The 19531-nt window shown below is 46.5% G+C and overlaps 3 annotated features.

Moving 5' to 3' along the window:
• Window positions 1–696: an enhancer, noted in NCBI's record as "H3K27ac-H3K4me1 hESC enhancer chr6:15017607-15018302 (GRCh37/hg19 assembly coordinates)". NCBI's record gives its function as "activates a minimal SCP1, AML or CMV promoter by ChIP-STARR-seq in primed H9 embryonic stem cells {active_cell/tissue: H9 hESC(primed)}" and the evidence as "EXISTENCE:reporter gene assay evidence [ECO:0000049][PMID:30033119]".
• Window positions 3860–4730: an enhancer, noted in NCBI's record as "OCT4-NANOG-H3K27ac-H3K4me1 hESC enhancer chr6:15021466-15022336 (GRCh37/hg19 assembly coordinates)". NCBI's record gives its function as "activates a minimal SCP1, AML or CMV promoter by ChIP-STARR-seq in primed H9 embryonic stem cells {active_cell/tissue: H9 hESC(primed)}" and the evidence as "EXISTENCE:reporter gene assay evidence [ECO:0000049][PMID:30033119]".
• Window positions 4731–5600: an enhancer, noted in NCBI's record as "OCT4-NANOG-H3K27ac-H3K4me1 hESC enhancer chr6:15022337-15023206 (GRCh37/hg19 assembly coordinates)". NCBI's record gives its function as "activates a minimal SCP1, AML or CMV promoter by ChIP-STARR-seq in naive H9 embryonic stem cells {active_cell/tissue: H9 hESC(naive)}" and the evidence as "EXISTENCE:reporter gene assay evidence [ECO:0000049][PMID:30033119]".

Genomic DNA, 19531 nt, shown 5'->3' on the forward strand with positions numbered 1-19531 from the left:
TGGAAGAGGAGAAGAAATGGAATGAAAGGTGAAATGGTAACCACCCGGCATCAGGGCACACGGCCGAAAGGCACTAGATCTCCTCCCGTCCGAAACATGGGCCACCAAACCAGTGAGCCAGTGCCACTGCCGGAGCCCATCAGGACACGCCCACTCTTTGATATGCTAATCAGTAGCTGAGGGTTGGTTGGAGCCGGCTGGAAAGCAGAGGCTTTCAGATGGCTGACTCGTTACAAAGCTGCAAACTTCAAAGCCCAGTTTAGAAGGTCCTGTTCTCGTATGGCAGAGTAAGTTTGCTTTTTTACAATGCTGAAGAGAAAATCCCAACAAATGAGAGTGCTTAAACAATGAAGCAGGCTCAACTCAAAATAAGGAACCAATCAGCAATATGGCTTCTATCTGTCCTTAGGACTTTAAACATTTCCAGATGATCGCATGCATCTGATTAGGGTCCCTGGAGCCCCACTCCTCTATCAGGGCCCACTGGAAGGGAGAACAGGAGGTTCCAAGGGTAGAGTCCCAGATTCAGACTCACTGGCAGGTAACACTCTACCCTGAACAATGTCGAGGTGGTTTCTAGCAGAAAGGCCAGCAGATGGTAAGACTTCACGTGATGCAATTCTTATCTTTTAGCGCACATAGGTAATTTGCAAAATTCTCTTACCTTTTTTGACTCAGGACAGAAATTGTGGTACCTCACCAGGGTTGGCCTTTTTGTAATGTGGGCCGGGAGCAGTGGCGCACACCTGTAATCCCAGCCCTTTGGGAGGCCAAAGTGGGCGGATCACTTGAGGTCAGGAGTTCCAGACCAACATGGTGAAACCGCGTCTCTACAAAAAATACAAAAGTTAGCCGGGCGTGGTGGCGGGCGCCTGTAATCCCAGCTACTGGGGAGGCTGAGGCAGAAGAATCGCTTGAACCCGGGAGGTGGAGGTTGCAGTGAGCTGAGATCGCGCCACTGCACTCCAGCCTGGGGACAGAGCAAGACTCCGTCTCAGAAAAAAAAAAAAAAAGATACAACTCCGATTAGATTACAGCCCCACCCTTCTGACCTCATTTAACCTTAAGTACCTCCTTATAGGCCCCGGCTCCAAATACAATCACAGTGGGGGTTAGAGATTGAAGGAGATCAGAAGATGCTTCCCCATAATATGCCACATTGGGGTATGGCGACTGAGAATCCACAGATGCAGAAAGAAGCCTTCTCAGAACTTCCCTTATCGAACTAAAAACAGCAACTTCTAGGAAATAAGGCTGCTGTAAATCCCCACTTCAGATCATATCTACTCCCAGAAGGGAGAACACGAATAAAAGCCACCCCCAATCCCTTCTCCAGGGGTTTTACGGTCCTGAAGGAGACGGAAAGATCACTCATACCTGTATAAACAAACATTATCACAAACTTTATCTCTCATTTGCTCTCCTAAAAACCCATTTGTCTTTCCTAAAGAAACCTATTTGTTCCTCACATAAAAGCTTTTGCTCTCCCTCCCTTTCCCCTACTAAGTTAGATGTATAAGCCTCTAACTTTAACCATTTAAAGAACCAGCTACTCCTTTGTGAGCATATATATATATATATATACACACATATATACCTTTTTTCTCCTGTTAATGTTTTCTGTCAGTTTAATTTGTAGGCCCAGAGATGCTGAACATGAGGGTAGAGAAAATTTTTTCTCCCCTATAATCTCCAACCTATGAATGGGGGCTGGGGGTGGGGGAGAATAGGACAGAATTCTGTTTATCGTCGTATTCAGGTGTCCTCAGTTAACCAAACCCCTTATACACACACGCTTTTGAAAAACAAACGTGGCAAGCTACGGGCAGAGCTGTGTCCATGAAGAGAGAATAGGAAAGAAGGGGGCAGGTGGGTGAACTACTGTGTGAACAAGATGGTGGCATCCTCCTTCACAGTTTTACCTGGAGGCACCACTACCTCCAGGCTTATCAGCTCTCGGGTTTCATCTTAAAAGAACTGTCTTTTCCGCTGGCTAATGGTGTTTATGTTGACCTGTGTGAGTTAGGGGGTGGTGTAGAAGGTTGACAAAGGGTTGCCATTGTGACAGGCGCTCAAACCAGAGTGACTCCATGTTGAATAGGGGCTGAGACCTACTGGGCTGCATTCCCAGGAGGTTAGGCATTCTTTTTTTCTTTTCTTTTTTTTTTTTTTTGAGACAGAGTCTCACTCTTGTTGCCCAGGCTGGAGTGCAATGACGCGATCTCGGCTCGCTGCAACCTCCGCCTCCCGGGTTCAAGGGATTCTCCTGCCTCAGCCTCCCAAGTAGCTGGGATTATAGGTGCCCGCCACCACACCTAGCTAATTTTTGTATTTTTAGTAGAGACGGGGTTTCACCATGTCGGCCAGGCTGGTCTTGAACTCCTGGCTTCAAGTGATCCACCTGCCCTCCCAAAGTGCTGGGTTCAAGTGATTCTCCTGCCTCACTCAGCCTCCCAAGTAGCTGGGATTACAGGCATGAACCACCATGCCCAGCTAATTTTGGATTTTCAGTAGAGACGGGTTTTCACCATGTTGGTCAGGCTGGTCTCAAACTCCTGACCTCAGGTGATCTGCCCACCTCAGCCTCCCAAAGTGCTGGGATTACAGGCATGAGCCACTGTGTCCAGCCGAAGTTAGGCATTCTTAGTCACAGGATGAGACAGGAGGTCGGCACAAGATATAGGTTATAAAGACTTTGCTGATAAAACAGGTCACGGTAAAGAAGCTGGCCAAAACCTACCCAAACCAAGATGGCGACGAAAGTGACCTCTGGTCATCCTCACTACTCATTATATGCTAATTATAAGGTAAATTATTAGCACGCTAAAAGACACTCCCACCAGCGCCATGACAGTTTACCAAGGCCATGGTAACATCAGGAAATTATCCTATATGGTCTAAAAAGGGGAGGAACCCTCAGCTCCGGGAATTGCCTAACCCTTTCCTGGAAACCTCATGAATAATCCACCCCTTTTTTAGCATACAATTAAGAAATAACCATAAGTATACTCAGTTGAGCAGCCCACGCCCCTGCTCTGCCAATGCAGTAGCCATTCTTTTATTCCTTTACTTTCCTAATAAGCTTGCTTTCACATTACTCTATGGATACTCCCCGGATTCTTTCTTGTGTGAGGTAAAAGAACCCTCTCTTGGGGTCTGAATAAGGACCCCTTTCTGGTAACATTGTGGCTTGAACGTAACCCTGCATTTCCCCTGTGTTCTTCCTAGGATTCAATCCATCTGGAGGGCCTGGGAGGCAGCCCTGCAAATGAGTTGCAGGAGACTTGGCAGAGTCCCCTGGGAGAGAACTAATCCTAAGAGAGAGCTTCATCTTAGGGCAAAATCTCATGGTCCCCTACCTGCAGATAACCCTTGGACCTAAATTGCAAGGATTCTAGTCTAAGTTAAAGCAGAAAAGGCAGAGTAAAAAACCAAAAGGCCTGTTTACTAAATCTCTGAGAGACGTTGAGAGCCCTGTTTGCGGAGATTATCATAAAAGTAGGAGAATGGCCGAGCGTGGTGGCTCACGCCTGTAATGCCAGCACTTTGGGAGGCCGAGGCAGATGAATCAGAGTTCAGGAGTTCAAAACCAGCCTGGCCAACATGGTGAAACCCAGTCTCTACTAAAAATATATTTTTTAAAAATTAGGCATGCATGGTGGTGGGCACCTGTAATCCCAGCTACTCGGGAGGCTGAGGCAGGAGAATCACTTGAACCTGGGAGGCGGAGGTTGCAGTGAACCAAGAGCATGCCATTGTACTCCAGCCTGGGCAATAAGAGTGAAACTAAGTCTCAAAAAAATAAAAATAATAATAATAAAATAATGAAGGTAGGAGAAGTTACATTATCCACTTTCCCGCCCATTCCCATGTGCCTGCCACACACACACACACACACACACACACACAACACACACACACACTTTCCCTCACTCCTTTGCAAGCAGTTCAAGACAGCTCTGCCCTCCAGGGACCCAGATGCTCCAGAGGTACCAGGCGGCTGCAATTCCAGCGACTTTGTCTCTACCTGGCACTGCACAAGATGGTGACATTGGCAACGACCGAAAATATCTCCCGCTCCCTCAGGGGACTGACACAGCGGACAAAAAAAAAAAAAATGGCCATACACGCAAGATTAACTGCATTAAAAATATGCATGGAAAATAATAATGGAAGGAAATACTGTAAATGGGTTTCTTTCCTGTACAGAATTGGCAGCCTAAATCATTGCCTCCTTTAAGAGTGACATAAATTTCACTCGGACCCCCTCTCCCACCTCCAGAATGAAGTCTAGGATCCTCCCCGAAGCCACCATGAATTCCAGAGGGCTTGGGCTTCACCATCTGAGGCTCTCATTTCCTGTCCCCCGTTCCACCCTCAGTCCCACGGACTCCTCGCCTCCCTCAGCTGATCTTTTCCCTGCGCTTTCCCGATTTCTTACCAACCGTTGACACAGGACTTTATGTGTCACAGTCTTCGCAGAGGTGTAGGGCTTGGCGATGGAGGGCAGAGAAGGGTGCCCATTTCATCACAGCACTTAAAATTCCTCCAGCCACCCCCACCCTAGTGCCCTTCTCAGCCACCCACATCTGCACAGCCCCAGGCTGCCACCCGTCACCCTGCGGCCGGCCCCCTCCCTCTCCCTCTCACCCCTCCTTTTCCTCACCTCTCCCCTCCTTCCTCCATCACCGCCCACGAATTCTTCTTCATTTGTAATGCAGAGTGTTTCAGAGCCTCCATCCACCAGGCCTGGGGAAGGACCTCCCCTTTGCATTTCACCAGTGAAGTAGCCAGTCAAGGTATTTTACCCAACACAAGGCTACTTACTCCGGAGAGGAATTCTGCCACTCCCTGAGGGGAAGCAGCTGCCATGGTTTAAAATAGTATTTTTACCTCTACCTCTATTACAACGATTTTCCAAACTTTCCCCACAAGCATGTATTAATTTCAAAGAAATGTGAACAGTTTACATAACTAGAGGCCAGTGGGGCAGTTTTTACCCCCAGGGGACATTTGGCAATGTCTGGAGATATTTTTGATTGTCACAGCTGGGGGTGGAAGGCAGCACTGCAGGTGGGAAATGGAGGCCACCCATGCCACTAAACATTCTGCAATGAACAGGATAGCCCCCCCGCTACAAAGAATTATGGGGCCCCCAGGCCGGGCGCGGTGGCTCACGCCTGTAATCCCAGCACTTTGGGAGGCCGAGGCGGGCGGGTCACTTGAGGTCAGGAGTTTGAGACCAGCCTGGCCAACATGGCAAAACCTCCTCTCTACTAAAACTACAAAAATTAGCCGAGCGTAGTGGTGCATGCCTGTAATCCCAGCTACTCGGGAGGCTGAGGTAGGAGAATCTCTTGAAGCCGGGAGGCGGAGGTTGCAGTGACCCAAGATCACATCAGTGCACTCCAGCCTGGGCGACAGAGCGAGATTCTGTCTCAAAAAAAAAAAAAAAAAAAAAAAAAAAAAAAGAATTATGGGGCCCCGAATGTTACTAATGCTGATGTAGAGAAATCTTGCATTTAAAGAGAGTAACATAGTGACTCTCTCTTCCTCTGTCTAAAGTGGGACCAATTAAAGAAAGCCATTTCCTGCCGGGCGCAGTGGCTCATGCCTGTAATCCCAGCACTTTGGGAGGCCAAGGCGGGTGGATCACCTGAGGTCAGGAGCTCGAGACCAGCCTGACCAACATGGCGAAACCCCGTCTCTACTAAAAATACAAAATTAGCCAGGCGTGGTGGCGGGCGCCTGCAATCCCAGCTACTCCGGAGGCTGAGGCAGGGGAATTGCTTGAACCCGGGAGGTGGAGGTTGCAGTGAACCGAGAACACGCCACTGCACTCCAGCCTGGGCAGTAAGAGCGAAACTCTGTCTCAAAAAAAAAAAAAAAAAAGAAAGAAAGAAAGAAAGAAAGCCATTTCCTTCACTTTGTCAGAACAACTACAACAATAGCAACTAGGAACTCTTAGTCCCTTACTCTGTTCCTAGCAACGTTAGAAGGTAAGTAGCTGTCCGGTCATCAGCCCCCTTTTTAAGGACAAGTCCTAGAGGGGTAAAGAAATTGCTAAGTTCACACACAGAGTAGGTAATAGACCCCAGGCAACCTGACACAGAGATGGCTGTGTCAGTCAGGGAGGCAGTCTTGCTAACATTCACACCTTGGTCTTAAACTTGCCACACACAGATATTTCTTGCATGTCTACCCTATTACTAAGCAAACAGAGAAGGTGCTAAAGGAACATGAAACTTTGACTAAGAAGTTCCATCCCAGGCCAGCTGTGGTGTCTCACATCTGTAACCCCAGCACTTCGGGAGGCTGAGGCGGGCGGATCACGAGGTAAAAAGATCGAAACCATCCTGGCCAAAATGGTGAAACCCCGTCTTTACTAAAAATACAGAAATTAGCTGGGCATGGTGGCTCGCGCCTGTAGTCCCAGCTCCTCAGGAGGCTGAAGCAGGAGAATCACTTAAACCCAGGAGGCAGAGGTTGCGGTAAGCCGAGATTGAGCCACTGCACTCCAGCCTGGCGACAGAGAGAGACTCTGTCTCAAAAAATAAATAAATAAATAAATAAAAAGAAGAAGTTCCATCCCAAAATTGTGAAGGGAATTTTGTATTTTGTAGACAGGACTTCATAGTGTGCTTCACTGAGGAGGCTTGGGTTTCGTTCTTTAAAAGTAATTAATCGGCCGGGCGCGGTGGCTCACGCCTGTAATCCCAGCACTTTGGGAGGCCGAGGCGGTCAGATCACAAAGTCAGGAGATCGAGACCATCCTGGCTAACACGGTGAAACCCCGTCTCTACTAAAAGTACAAACAATTAGCCAGGTGTGGTGGCGGGCGCCTGTAGTCCCAGCTACTCGGGAGGCCGAGGCAGGAGAATGGCGTAAACCCAGGAGGCGGAGCTTGCAGTAAGCTGAGATTGCGCCAGGGCACTCCAGCCTGGGCGACAGAGCGAGACTGTGTCTCAAAAAAAATAAATAAATAAAAATAAAAGTAATTAATCACAAGCCAGGCATGGTGGCTCACGCCTGTAATCCCAGCACTTTGGGAGGCCGAGGCGGGTGGATCACTTGAGGTCAGGAGTTCGAGACCAGCCTGGTCAACATGGTGAAACCCCATCTCTACTAAATTCTCATGAGGATATGGAGAAATCGAATCACTGATATATCGCTGGTGAGAATGTAAAAATGGTACAGCCACTCTGGAAAACAGTTTAACAGTTTCTTTCTGGGCCGGGCATGGTGGCTCATGCCTGTAATCCCAGCACTTTGGGAGGCTGAGGCGGGTGGATCACGAGGTCAGGAGTTCGAGACCAGCCTGACCAACATGGTGAAACCCCGTCTCTACTAAAAACACAAAAATTAGCTGGGTGTGGTGGCGAGCACCAGTAATCCCAGCTACTCAGGAGGCTGAGGCAGGAGAATCATTTGAACCTGGGAGGCAGAGGTTGCAGTGAGCCGAGATTCTGCCGTTGCAATCCAGCCAGGGTGAGACTCCGGAAAACAAACAAACAAACAAAAAAACAGTTTCTTTCTTTGTGGGGGTAGTGGGGACAGGGTCTTGCTCTGTCACCCATGCTGGAGTGCAATGACGTGATCATAGCTCACTGCAGTCTTGATCTCCCATGCTTAAATGATCCTCCCACATCAGTCTCCTGACTAGTTGGGACTACAGGTATGTGTCACTATGCCCAGCTAATTTGTATTTTTATTTTGTTGTTTAGTAGAAACGTGGTCTCCCTATGTTGATCAGGCTGCTCTTGAACTCCTGAGCTCAAGTGATCCTCTGGCAGTTTGATAGTTTCTTTAAAAACTAAATACACACATGGCTGGGCATGGTGGCTCACGCCTATAATCACAGCACTTTGGGAGGCCAAGGTGGGCGGATCACCAGGTCAGGAGTTTGAGACCAGCCTGGACAACAGAGTGAAACCTCGTCTCTACTAAAAATATAAAAATTAGCCAGGCATGGTGGCTCATGCCTGTAGTCCCAGCTACTTGAGAGGCTGAGGCAGGAGAATCACTTGAACCCGGGAGGCGTAGGTTGGAGTGAGCCAAGATCATGCCACCGCACTCCAGGCTGGGTAACAGAGTGAGAGTCTGCCTCAAAAAAAAAAAACCCCAAAAAACTAAATACGCGCTTACTCTAAGGCCCAGCAGTTGCACTCCTGCTAATTTATCCCAGATGATTTAGGATTTCTGCTCACACAAAAACTTTCCATGAATGTTTATAGCAGCTTTCCTTGTAATAGCCAAAAACTGGAAACAACCCGGATGTCCTTTGATAAGTAAGTGGTTATAAAACAGCTTTGCTAGATCCACATTATGGAACATCACTCAGCAACAGAAATAATGAACTATCACTACAGTCAACACCCTGGATGGATCTCCAGAGATGCTGGGTGACAAAAGTCAATCCCAAAAGATTACATACTGTATGATTTCATTGACATAACATTCTTGAAATGACAAAATTATAGAGATGGAGAACAGATTAGTGGTTGCCAGTGGTTAAAGAAGACATAAGGACAAGAGAGAAGCAGGTTAAAGAAGACATAAGGGCAAGAGAGGCGGGTGGGTCATGAGGTCAGGAGTTCAAGACCAGCCTGGCCAACATGGTGAAACCCTGTCTCTACTAAAAACACAAAAATTAGCTGGGTGTGGTGGCGAGCACCAGTAATCCCAGCTACTCAGGAGGCTGAGGCAGGAGAATCATTTGAACCTGGGAGGCGGAGGTTATAAAAAGGCAACAGGAAGGATCTTCTGGAGATATAAATGTTTTCTTTCTTGACTGTTTTAATGTTGATATCATGGTTATCATATTTTAGTATAGTTTTGCAGGGTATACTATTAAGGGAAACTAGGCAAAAGGTATAGGAGATTTCTCTGTCTTATTTCTTACAGCTTCATGTGACTCTATAATCTCAAAATAAAAAGTTTAATTATATATATATATTATATATATATATTAGATAGAAAGATAGACAGATAAGGCCGGGTGTGGTGGCTCACACCTGTAATCCCAGAACTTTGGGTGGCCAAGGCAGGAGGATTGCTGGAGCCCAGGAGTTCCAGACCAGCCTGGGCAATATAGTGAGACTCCGTCTCTGCAAAAAATTAAAAATTAGCTGAGTGTGGTGGCACATGCCTGTAGTCCCAGTTACTTGGGAGGCTGATGCAGGAGGATCACTTGAGCCCAGAAATTTGAGGCTGCAGTGAATTATGATCACACCACTATGTTCCAGCCTGGGTGACAGAGTGAGAACCTGTCTCAAAAAAAAAAAAAAAAAAAAAAAAGAGAGAAAGATAGATAAACAGGTAAATAGGAGGAATGCACCTTAAGCTATTCAGACAGCCAAAGTTTCAAAGAAAGGCCCTAATATGAGCTCTAGGAAAAGGCAAAAATGCAGGCACAGATGGGCTAGCTCCTTAAGGCTAACAAGTACCCATTCACTGGAGGAGGCAACCCTAAAATGTGATCAGGTGACAAGTGGCCCCACGGTCCTGAGGAGCAGGCACTCTAACCCATGTAAAATAAACCGGACACATGGAAATTGTAATGTGAGGAGAGTGTGGAAGCCAGGGAAGGGATGCTGTAATGACAAGTGCAAACAGAGAGCGGGGAGTTTCCATGGAGTCTGGAAAGCTGGAGGGCAAAACACTGGGTGTTTTCCAGCACTGACCAGAGCAGAACATGGCTGGCCAATGTAAACATCCAGTCCACTGGGCAAACATACTCCTCACTGAAGGAGGATGTTTCACGGGGACAGCCACCGTGTGATAAAAATATACCCTCTAGGAAATCCAGTTTCCTTTGCCCAGGGTTCTAAACTCATCAAGCAACCTTCCGATCTTAATTTGATTTTTGATGGTTTCCTCACTGGAAGAGAAGGCGCTAACAGTATCCAGTCTGCTAAATGATTGTGTTTTCCTGCCTTATCACCCCCCATGGTTTTTGGCATTGGGTATTTTGTTCTAAATTGTTTTCTCTCTCAGGCGTAATAGTATTTTCCCTCTAACAAGAATATAAACCCCCCTAAGCAAAGGGATAGAGTTGACAAACATGTATTAAGCACCTCCTGTGTGCTTGGAACTGTGCAAGAATCAAAGGCAAGATGCCAGCAGATGTGATTCCTGCTCTCAGTGAGTGCTGGTTCCCTGGGGCTCCTGTACCCCCTGGGCTGGTGGTCATGGTGGTATGGCCAAGAGTGTGGGCTCCAGAATCAAACCGGTGGAGTCCAGATTCTGGCTCCAGTGTTTCCTGTCTGCATGACCTTGAGCAATTTACCCAATCTCTCTGACCTTCAGTGTTCTCATCTCTAAAGTGGGAATGATACCTCACAATGTGGTTGTGAGGATTCAATGAGTTAATTTGGATACAATTAAGTACCAGAGACATAGTAAGCATTTATTAGATGGGAAGTCTTGTTACTCTGATAATCATTCTCATAACCAAGAGGTCTCAGATTTCTCCGTCCTTGGGGATGCCACTTCCCTCTACTGCCTATAAACCAAAAAGTGTCTGAGACAGATCTCAGTCCATTTAGAGGTTTATTTTGCCAAGGTTGAGGACGTGCCTGGGGAAAAGAGGCAAGTTACGGTAGGATGAGAGGCCTGTGCTTTTTCCAGAAAGAGTTTTTAGAACTTCAGTATTTAAAGGGGAAAGAGTGGACAGGAGGGGAAGGAGGAAAAGAAAGGGGAAAAAAGAAAGTGGGGAGGGTAGGAGGTGAGGTGGTTACATCTTGTGAGGCTTTGATTGGTGCTCTCGAAATCCACATTTTACATGTGAAAAAAAAGAAGAGTGAGGAGAGTCAACTATGCATTCATGTCATGCTTCATTTTACATAAGATAAAGTAAGCATACCAGCCTGGGCAACATGGCAAAACCCTGAGTCTACAAAAAAAAAAAAAATTAGCCAGGTGTAGTGCACACACCTATAGTCCAGCTACTTGGGAGGCTGAGATGGGAGGATCACTTGAGCCAGGAGGTTAAGGCTGCAGTAAGCCATGATCACACCACTGCACTCCAGCCTGGGCAACAGAGTGAGACCTTGTTTCAAAACAAATAATAAATAACAAAATAAGCATAGAGTAGAGGAAGAAGTAAAATATGCATTTGTCTCAGGATAGGTGGAGGGATGGTTTCTAGTCTTGTTTTTGTCCCGTACCTGTGAAGATAGGCTATTAATTTATTTACATTGTCAGGGTGAGATTCAACAGAACTCTGTTTTAGGGTTAGTTTATAGAGGGAATATGCATTCTGAGAGATTTGGGTGTCCACAAGGAATTTCCTTGTGAGCAATTTGTGAGGAAGTCCTCGTCAGCGGGATAGGTGGCCTTCTATCATTGCAGCTAGATAACTGTTTGGGAACAAAAAGGAAGGTGATTTTTTGCATGACTCAGTTCCCAAGCTTAACTTTCCCTTTGGCATAGTGAGTTTGGGGTCCCAAGATGTTACCTTCCTTTCACATACCCAACTAACTTGTTTGGCCATGCAAGGTCCAATTATTTACCAAGTTCCCCTCTCCCAGCATCTAGGAACCCTGGAGAGTGCAGAGAAGCTCTATAAATCTGCCTTGGTTGTCACTTGCCACAAACCAGCATCTGGCTCAAGCCCATTGCCCTTCAGACCCTCGATAGGCATCTTCAGACCAGCTTCTATTCTCCACTGTGGCCACCTCCACCAGCCCCAAGAGTGGGCCAAGCCTGCCCTCCTTCCCACACAGTGCTGCCTGAGGCCAGGCCTTCACATTCATCATGTGGCCTTTGGAAGGCTTGGGGATAACCAAAGAAGCTGAGCCCAGAAAATTCTGAACATGTTTCAGAGTCTTGGCTCACCATTCTGTTTCAGGGACTGCCTCTCTAAAAAAGAAACCACGAAGGCTCCAGGCCTCATATCATTTGAGGCCCCCAGAGAAGAAAAAAAAAAAAAAGGGTCCTGATTTGTTTTGTTTTGCTTTAAATGGAAACTGAATCTCAAACATGCAACTCTGCCCACCAAGAAGACAGTCTTGTTCAATTCGTGTGTAGAGAAGTTGAGCCACATGCCTCCAACTTCCACATAGCCCAAATCTCTTTGCTTTACCTTTACATTTGCAGGTCTGTGAGATCCAATATTGAGGGAGTCAGAACCATGGGACCTCCCTGCAGCAAAAATACACTGTTGTCACCACTTCAGTGGAAGTCTGAATCCATCTATAACCACAGAGGCTTGAAAAATCTTGAGGCTGGCCGGGCGCGGTGGCTCACGCCTGTAATCCCAGCACTTTGGGAGGCCGAGGCGGGCAGATCATGAGGTCAGGAGATCGAGACCATCCTGGCTAACACGGTGAAACCCTGTCTCTACTAAAAATGCAAAAAAAAAAATTCGCCAGGCGTGGTGGCAGGCGCCTGTAGTCCCAGCTACTCGGGAGGCTGAGGCAGGAGAATGGCGTGAATCCGGGAGGCGGAGCTTGCAGTGAGCTGAGATCGCGACACTGCACTCCAGCCTGGGCAACAGAGTGAGACTCCGTCTCAACAACAACAACAAAAAAAAAATCTTGAGGCCCTTTATTGACCAAGGCACCCTATCACGGATATTTACATTTATTTTGCATAGCGTAAGACACCATAGCTGAATTGAGGGGAAAAAAACCTTTCACATTTCCACCAAGTATCTAAACACAGTATTCATCAGGAGAAATTCCAGTCTGACCTCCCGAATTCCTTAAAAAAGAAAAGAAAACATTGAAGAGAAATAAAGCAAAGCCCACCCAAACCCTCATTTGCGCCATGCGTGGTGGCTCACGCCTGTAATCTCAGCACTTCAGGAGGTCAAAGCAGGCAGATCACTTGAGCTCAGGCATTGGAGACCAGCCTGGGCAACATGGTGAGACCACCGTCTTTACAAAAAATTTAAAACATTAGCTGGGTGTGGCAGCACACACCTGTGGTCCCAGCTACTCAGGAGGCTGAAGGGGGAGGATCACTTGAGCCTGGGAGGTTGAGGCTACAGGAAGCTATAATTGTGCCACTGCATTCCAGCCATGGCAACAGAGCAAGACCTTGTCTCAAAAAATAAATAAATAAATAAAAATAAAATAAAATAAATTATCATTCTCCTTCCCTCCTGTAACTGCCCAATGGATTCACCTTGCCCACTGCCTAGACAGAGCCAATTTATCAAGACACGGGAATTGCAATAGAGAAAGAGTAATTCATGCAGAGCCAGCTGTGCAGGAGACTGGAGTTTTATTATTACTCAAATCAGTCTCCCCGAGCATTTTAAGGACAACTTGGTGAGTTGGGGGAAGCCAGTGAGCCAAGAGTGCTGATTGGTCAGAGATGGAATCAGAGGGAATTGAAGTTGTCCTCTTGCACTGTTGGTTCCTGGGAGGGGGCCACAAGATCAGATGGGCCAGTTTATTGATCTGGGTGGGGCCAGCTGATCCATCAAGTGCAGGATCTGCAAAATATCTCAAGCACTGATCTTAGCAGCAGTTTAGGGAGGGTCAGGATCTTGTAATCTCTAGCTGCGTGACTCCTAAACTATAATTTCTAATCTTTTGGCTAATGTTGGCCCTACAAAGGCAATCTAGTCCCCAGGCAAGAAGGAGGTCTACTTTGGGAAAGGGTTGTTTTCTTCTTTGTTTTAAACTATAAACTATAGGCTGGGTGGGGTGGCTCATGCCTGTAATCCCAACAATTTGGGAGGTCAAGGCAGTGGATCACCTGAGGTCAAGGAGTTCGAGACCAGCCTGGTCAACATGGCGAAACCCCATCTCCACTAAAAATACAAAAGTTAGCCAGGCATGGTGGCGGTCGCCTGTAGTCTCAGCTACCCGAGAGGCCGAGGCAGGAGAATCGCTTGAACCCGGGAGACCGAGGTTGCAGTGAGCCGAGATCACACCACTGCACTCCAGCCTGGGCGATAGAGTGAGACTCTGTCTCGAACAAACAAACAAAAAAACCAAAAAAACACTATAAACTATAAACTAAGTTTCTCCCAAAGTTAGTTCAGCCTACACCCAGGAATGAACATGGAAAGCTTGGAGGTTAGAAGCAAGATGGAATCAATTAAGTTAGATCTCTTTCACTGTCTCAGCCATAATTTTGCAGAGGTGGTTTCACTCCCAGTTCTCTGCCCCAGGACTTGTCCTGGAGCTACTCCTTTCTCCTGTTTAAGTTGTTTATCCCCATGCTAGGTTAAATCAGCCAAGGCTCTACTCATCAGCCTGAATAGGGCAGCCAGGCCAGCAGAAGGAACACAATCTTCCCTAAAAGTTCAGTGGAAAGTTGTGCAGACGCGTGCTTCCATTTGTCATTGTCGTTGTTTCTCCTACTTTGTAGGTTACCTAGTGAGAGGCAGTTTTCCCCAACAGTTATCATTAAACAGGTGGCTTTCTCATGTCAACTACACATTTGCCCTTGAACTTGGCCAACAACTCACCTAGTTTGATTATTTTATTTTACAAAAGAAAAGTCAAAAAGTGTTCAAAAGAGAAGAAAAGGAGAAGAAGAAGAAAGAGGAGGGGAGATGAAAAGAAGTAAGATAAGGAAAAGTGAGAGGGGAGAGAAAAAGAACACGATTGAACATTTTCTGTGCAGCAAGGGAAGCGCCACCAGCCGTTAAAGAGGTCGTTAAAGACAGTCTGTTCATTTTCCCTGCACATTCTGGGGATCCCAAAATAAGATCCATGGGAGATGACATTACACTTTTCCAAAACACCTTTCTGAGAACACCTCCCACAATGTGTCAAAACAAATGAAATTCTACATCTCTGCTTATAAATATTTTCCCCCAGCAACAAATGAAAGCTGTGATTCTACAGATACCTCGTGGCTTCCTGTTCCTTAGAAGGGGTGTAGAGGCAGAGACATTTGCGGCAGCATCATTTTTATACTATGAGTGAGCACACATTTACATAATTCCATTCAAAAATAACTGATTGAATATACATAGTATTATATAAATATGTATCAATACCTATGAGAACTAAATTAAGAGAAGCTAGTCAGAACCAGGCAGTGTGTGGGAGCCCCCTCAATTCCTGCAGCAGGGTTGGGCTGCCTGACTTTGGGGAACAGATGCTATTTGAGTACCGGGGCATTATTCACCTAGAACTGCCCTGTGTCCGTCCCTGATCCCATAGCACGGTGGATAAATAAAATCTGTGCTCATGCATTAGATCAGCATGAATTACCACTGAAAATACATATAAGATGCAGGAATTGCATCTTTATTTCCAAACATATTTGTTATGAAAGACTCAGAGATTGGGGAAACCAGGGGAAAATGTTAGCATTTCTTAGGAAGGTTTCGAGTTGCATCTGCTACTTGAATACTTAAACTGAGCGAGTGGCCTTAAAGATATTAATAAATACCTATTGAAACGCAACGAATTTGGGAGAGAAGAAGACATCCTATGAATTTATTTATTTCTGAATCTTCACTGAAGGAAAAATTAAAACTATTTTTTATTAGTCAGCTCTGGTTCCCATAAGAACGTGCCACAGCATGGGTGGTGTAAACAGCAGAAATGTATTTTCTTTCAGCTCTCCTCTTCCTAGCTTGCAAGATGGGGGCCTCTTCTCTACGTCCTCATGTGGCCCTTCCTCTGTGCACAGGAATTCCTGGTGTCCCTGCCTCTTCTTTTTGTTTTAGAGACAAGGTCTCTGTCACACAGGCTGGAGTGCAATGGCAAAATCATAGCTCACTGCTGCCTCGACCTCCTAAACTCTAGTGATCCTCTCACTTCAATCAGTCTCCCAAGTAGCTGGGAGAAAAATTAACCGGGTTAATTTTTCTTCCTAATTTTTTGTAAAGATGGAGATCTTGCTATGTTGTTCAGGCTGTTCTCCACCTCCTGGGCTCAAGCTAGCCTCCCCACTCCGGCCTTTCAAAGTGCTGGGATTACAGGCGTACGCCACTGCACCCATCTCTTCCTCTTCTTACAAGGACACCAATCAGTCTTATAGGATTAAGAACACACCCTTGTGACCTCATTTAACCTTAACTACCTCCCTAAAGGCGCTATCTCCAAACACAGCCACATTGAGGGCTAGAGGTTCAATGTATGAATTTTGGTAGGGGGGTAAATATCCTCCAAAGTCCAGTGGCACGATCTTGGCTCACTGCAACCTCCACCTCCCAGGTTCAAGCGATTCTGCTCAGCCTCCCCAGTAGCTGGGACTACAGTCACCTGCCAATGCGCCCAGCTAATTTTTTGTATTTTTAGTAGAGACGGGGTTTCACCATATTGGCCAGGTTGGTCGCAAACTCTAGACCTCAGACGTTCCGCCCACCTCGGCCCCACAAAGTGCTGGGATTACAGGTATGAGCCACTGCACCCCGCCCAAAGTTCTTTTGAAGTGGCTTCTTTGTGTGGGGTAAATACCCAGGGTTCATCATCTCACACCAAGAAAATTTAGCACATGGACACATTTGAGGAGTTTAGGAGTGGAGGTTTAATAGGCAAAGTAAAGAGAAAGGAGAACAGCTCTCTCTCTAGTGAAAGAGATGAGCTTCTGAAAGGGAAAGACCAGCTGGTGGTAGATGCCCCGGATTTTATAGGCAGGCTTGAGGAGGCGGTATCTGATTTACTTAGGGCCCACAGATAGGTTCGATCAGGTGTAACGTTTACATAGTGCAGGGAAGGCTGGCCGCCCCACCCTAATCTTATTATGCGAATGAACTTTCCACACGACCGGCACCATCTTGTTTGCTCCTTACTGTACACAAGGCTGGCAGAGACAGAAGGGAAGCTGGGGCCATCATTTTGAACATGATTGGTACACCTGCCGGCATCTATGTCTGCAGCTCGATTTTATAGGTTGCTGTTTGTTAGAAAATGATTTGGGGGCTGCTTTTCATTAAAAAGGGAAACCTTACCGAGGACTCCTGTACCTTCACTAACTGCCTAAGTAATTTCTTCTTAACTCCTATATCACTTTCAAGTTGAATGCCGTGGCTCAGGCCTATAATCCCAGCACTTTGGGAGGCCCACGTGGGCAGATTGCTTGAGCTCAGGAGTTCAAGACCAGCTTAGGCAAACATAGCAAAACATTGTCTCTACTATTTTTTTTTTTAAGATGGAGTCTTACTCTGTCACCTAGGCTGGAGTGCAGTGGCGTGACCTTGGCTCACTGCAACCTCTGCCTCCTAGGTTCAAGCGATTCTCCTGCCTCAGCCTTCTGAGTAGCTGGAGTTACAGGTGCCCACCACCACGTCTGGCTAATTTTTGTATTGTTAGTAGAGACAGGGTTTCACCTTGTTGGCCAGGCTGGTCTCGAACTCCTGACCTCAAGTGATCCGCCTGCCTCAGTCCCACAAAATGTTGGGATTATAGGCGTGAGCCACCGTGCCTGACCATCTCTACTTTTGTAAGAAAAGAAGGAAACAAAGTGCTTTTAACTAAAAAGATTGACTATTTCAAATATCTACCAGAGCTAAAATATAGAAACAGACATAGGTTTAGAAATATTGAAGTTGAGGATGATAAGCACAGAATGACTAATGCATGTGCTGCTCTTCTCCTTGTAGGGGGTGGTTGGGGACAGTTTTTATTTGCTTTGTTCCCCTACCTCTCCACCCCCGTCCCCATTACTCTATATGGACCCTTTTAACTTCTCAAAACCAAAGTTCATTCATTCTAGGCTATAAGTGCTCTAAGAACAGAGAGCATTTCTTTCTTTCTTCTTTTTTCTTTTTTTCTTTTCCCTTTTTTTTTTTTTAATACTAGGAAGAGCCAACATCGAAGCATCAGAAAGCAAGGTTGCTATGAATGCTTGGCAGCCATAAGCCAGTAAAGAGGGCATTTCTGTTTAATTCCGTGTAGAGTCAGGCACATATGAGCAGCTCAATAAACACCTGCTGGAAGAATGAATGGTTCCATTCCTTATAAACATGGAATTGGAAAGAGTAAGTTAGGAGAAGGGCCTCAGCAAGTGGAGGCCAGGCTGAGATGGGCCCTTCTCTCATTCTTCCTAGTCCCCTACCTTCCTGACAGCCAAGGATCTAAACTCTGTAGACCTGCCATCGTGGCCTCAGGAGAGGGGACATGAAGCCCCAAGTCAAGTCTCTGAGTATCACATGCTTGGAGAATGTTGACCCATGGATTGAGAGAAAGTACAACCCAGCTACCCTTCGGTTCCCATGGCCACACACCCAAGAATTGCCAGGGTCCAGGTCAAGGGAGAAGGTAATTATGCCAGAGGTCACAAGTGACAACCAACAAGTATTTACTGAGTGCCTGCTCTTTGGTCAGTCAATAAATATTTATTAATTACATATTTTGCATCAAATACAGTACCTGGCACTGCAGATGCAAAAGATGAATAAGATGCTCTTGCTCTCTAGGGATGAATATGTGGGTGCCAAGGGGAGATGCAGAGCCCACTGCACTACTGCATCAGGCTTCTGCTTAGCCCTGACAAGCTCATGTCATGACTGGCAGTTCCTCAGTGTCTGTAAGTAAAGGCCTATCCTGTGTGTGTTCCCTTGAGCAAAACAAAAAGTTTTCCATTTAAACTCTATTTTGCCAGCCATGATGGATCACACCTGTAATCCCAACACTTTGGGAAGCCAAGTTGGGTGGATCGTTTGAACTTAGGAGTTTGAGACCAGCCTGGGCAACACAGCAAGAACCCATGTCTATAAAAAAATGTAAAACTAAAATTTAGCCAGGTGTAGTGATGCATGCCTGTGGTCCCAGCCACATAGGAGGCTGAAGTGAGAGAATCTCTTGAGCCCAGCAGGTCGAGGCTGCAGTGAGCCATGATCATGCCACTGCACTCCAGCCTGGGCAACAGAGTGAGACACTGTCTCCAAAAATTAAAAATAAAAATAAAATTAAAATCATCCTTTAAAAGGTGGTAGAGGCCAGGCACGGTGGCTCACGCCTGTAATCCCAACACTTTGGGAGGCCAAGGCAGGCGGATCACCTGAGGTCGGGAGTTCGAGACCACCCTGACCAACATGGAGAAACTCCGTCTCTACTAAAAATACAAAATTAGTCGGGCGTGGTGGCATGTGCCTGTAATCACAGCTATTCAGGAGGCTGAGGCAGGAGAATCACTTGAACCCGGGAGGAGGCGGTTGCGGTGAGCTGAGATAGCGCTATTGCACTCCAGCCTGGGCAACAAGAGTGAAACTCCGTCTCAAATAAATAAATAAATAAATAAATGGTGGTAGAATTGCTGGAACCCAGGAGTCGGAGGCTGCAGTGAGCCAAGATCGCGCCACTACACTCTGGCCTGGGGAACAGAGTGAGACTCCATTTCAAATAAATACATAAAATAAACTCTATTTTTTCCTTTTTCCTTTTTTTTTTTTTAAATGACTGTCCATCAGTTTGACTGGCCCAAGAGGTATAGGCGTGGACTGCAGCGCAATGAGCCAGAGGAATGCCTGGACTGGATATTCAACTCAGAGTGACATTTTCACAACTCTGGTCATGAGGCTTGAAGTGACAAACTGCAAGATCAGGATGACTGCTCCCAGATAAGAGTCTGCCCCTGGTGAGCAGCCATCAGGCAGCTGACAGGGAGCACA

Source organism: Homo sapiens, chromosome 6 (genome assembly GCF_000001405.40).
Source record: "Homo sapiens chromosome 6, GRCh38.p14 Primary Assembly".
Lineage (NCBI taxonomy): Eukaryota > Metazoa > Chordata > Mammalia > Primates > Hominidae > Homo > Homo sapiens.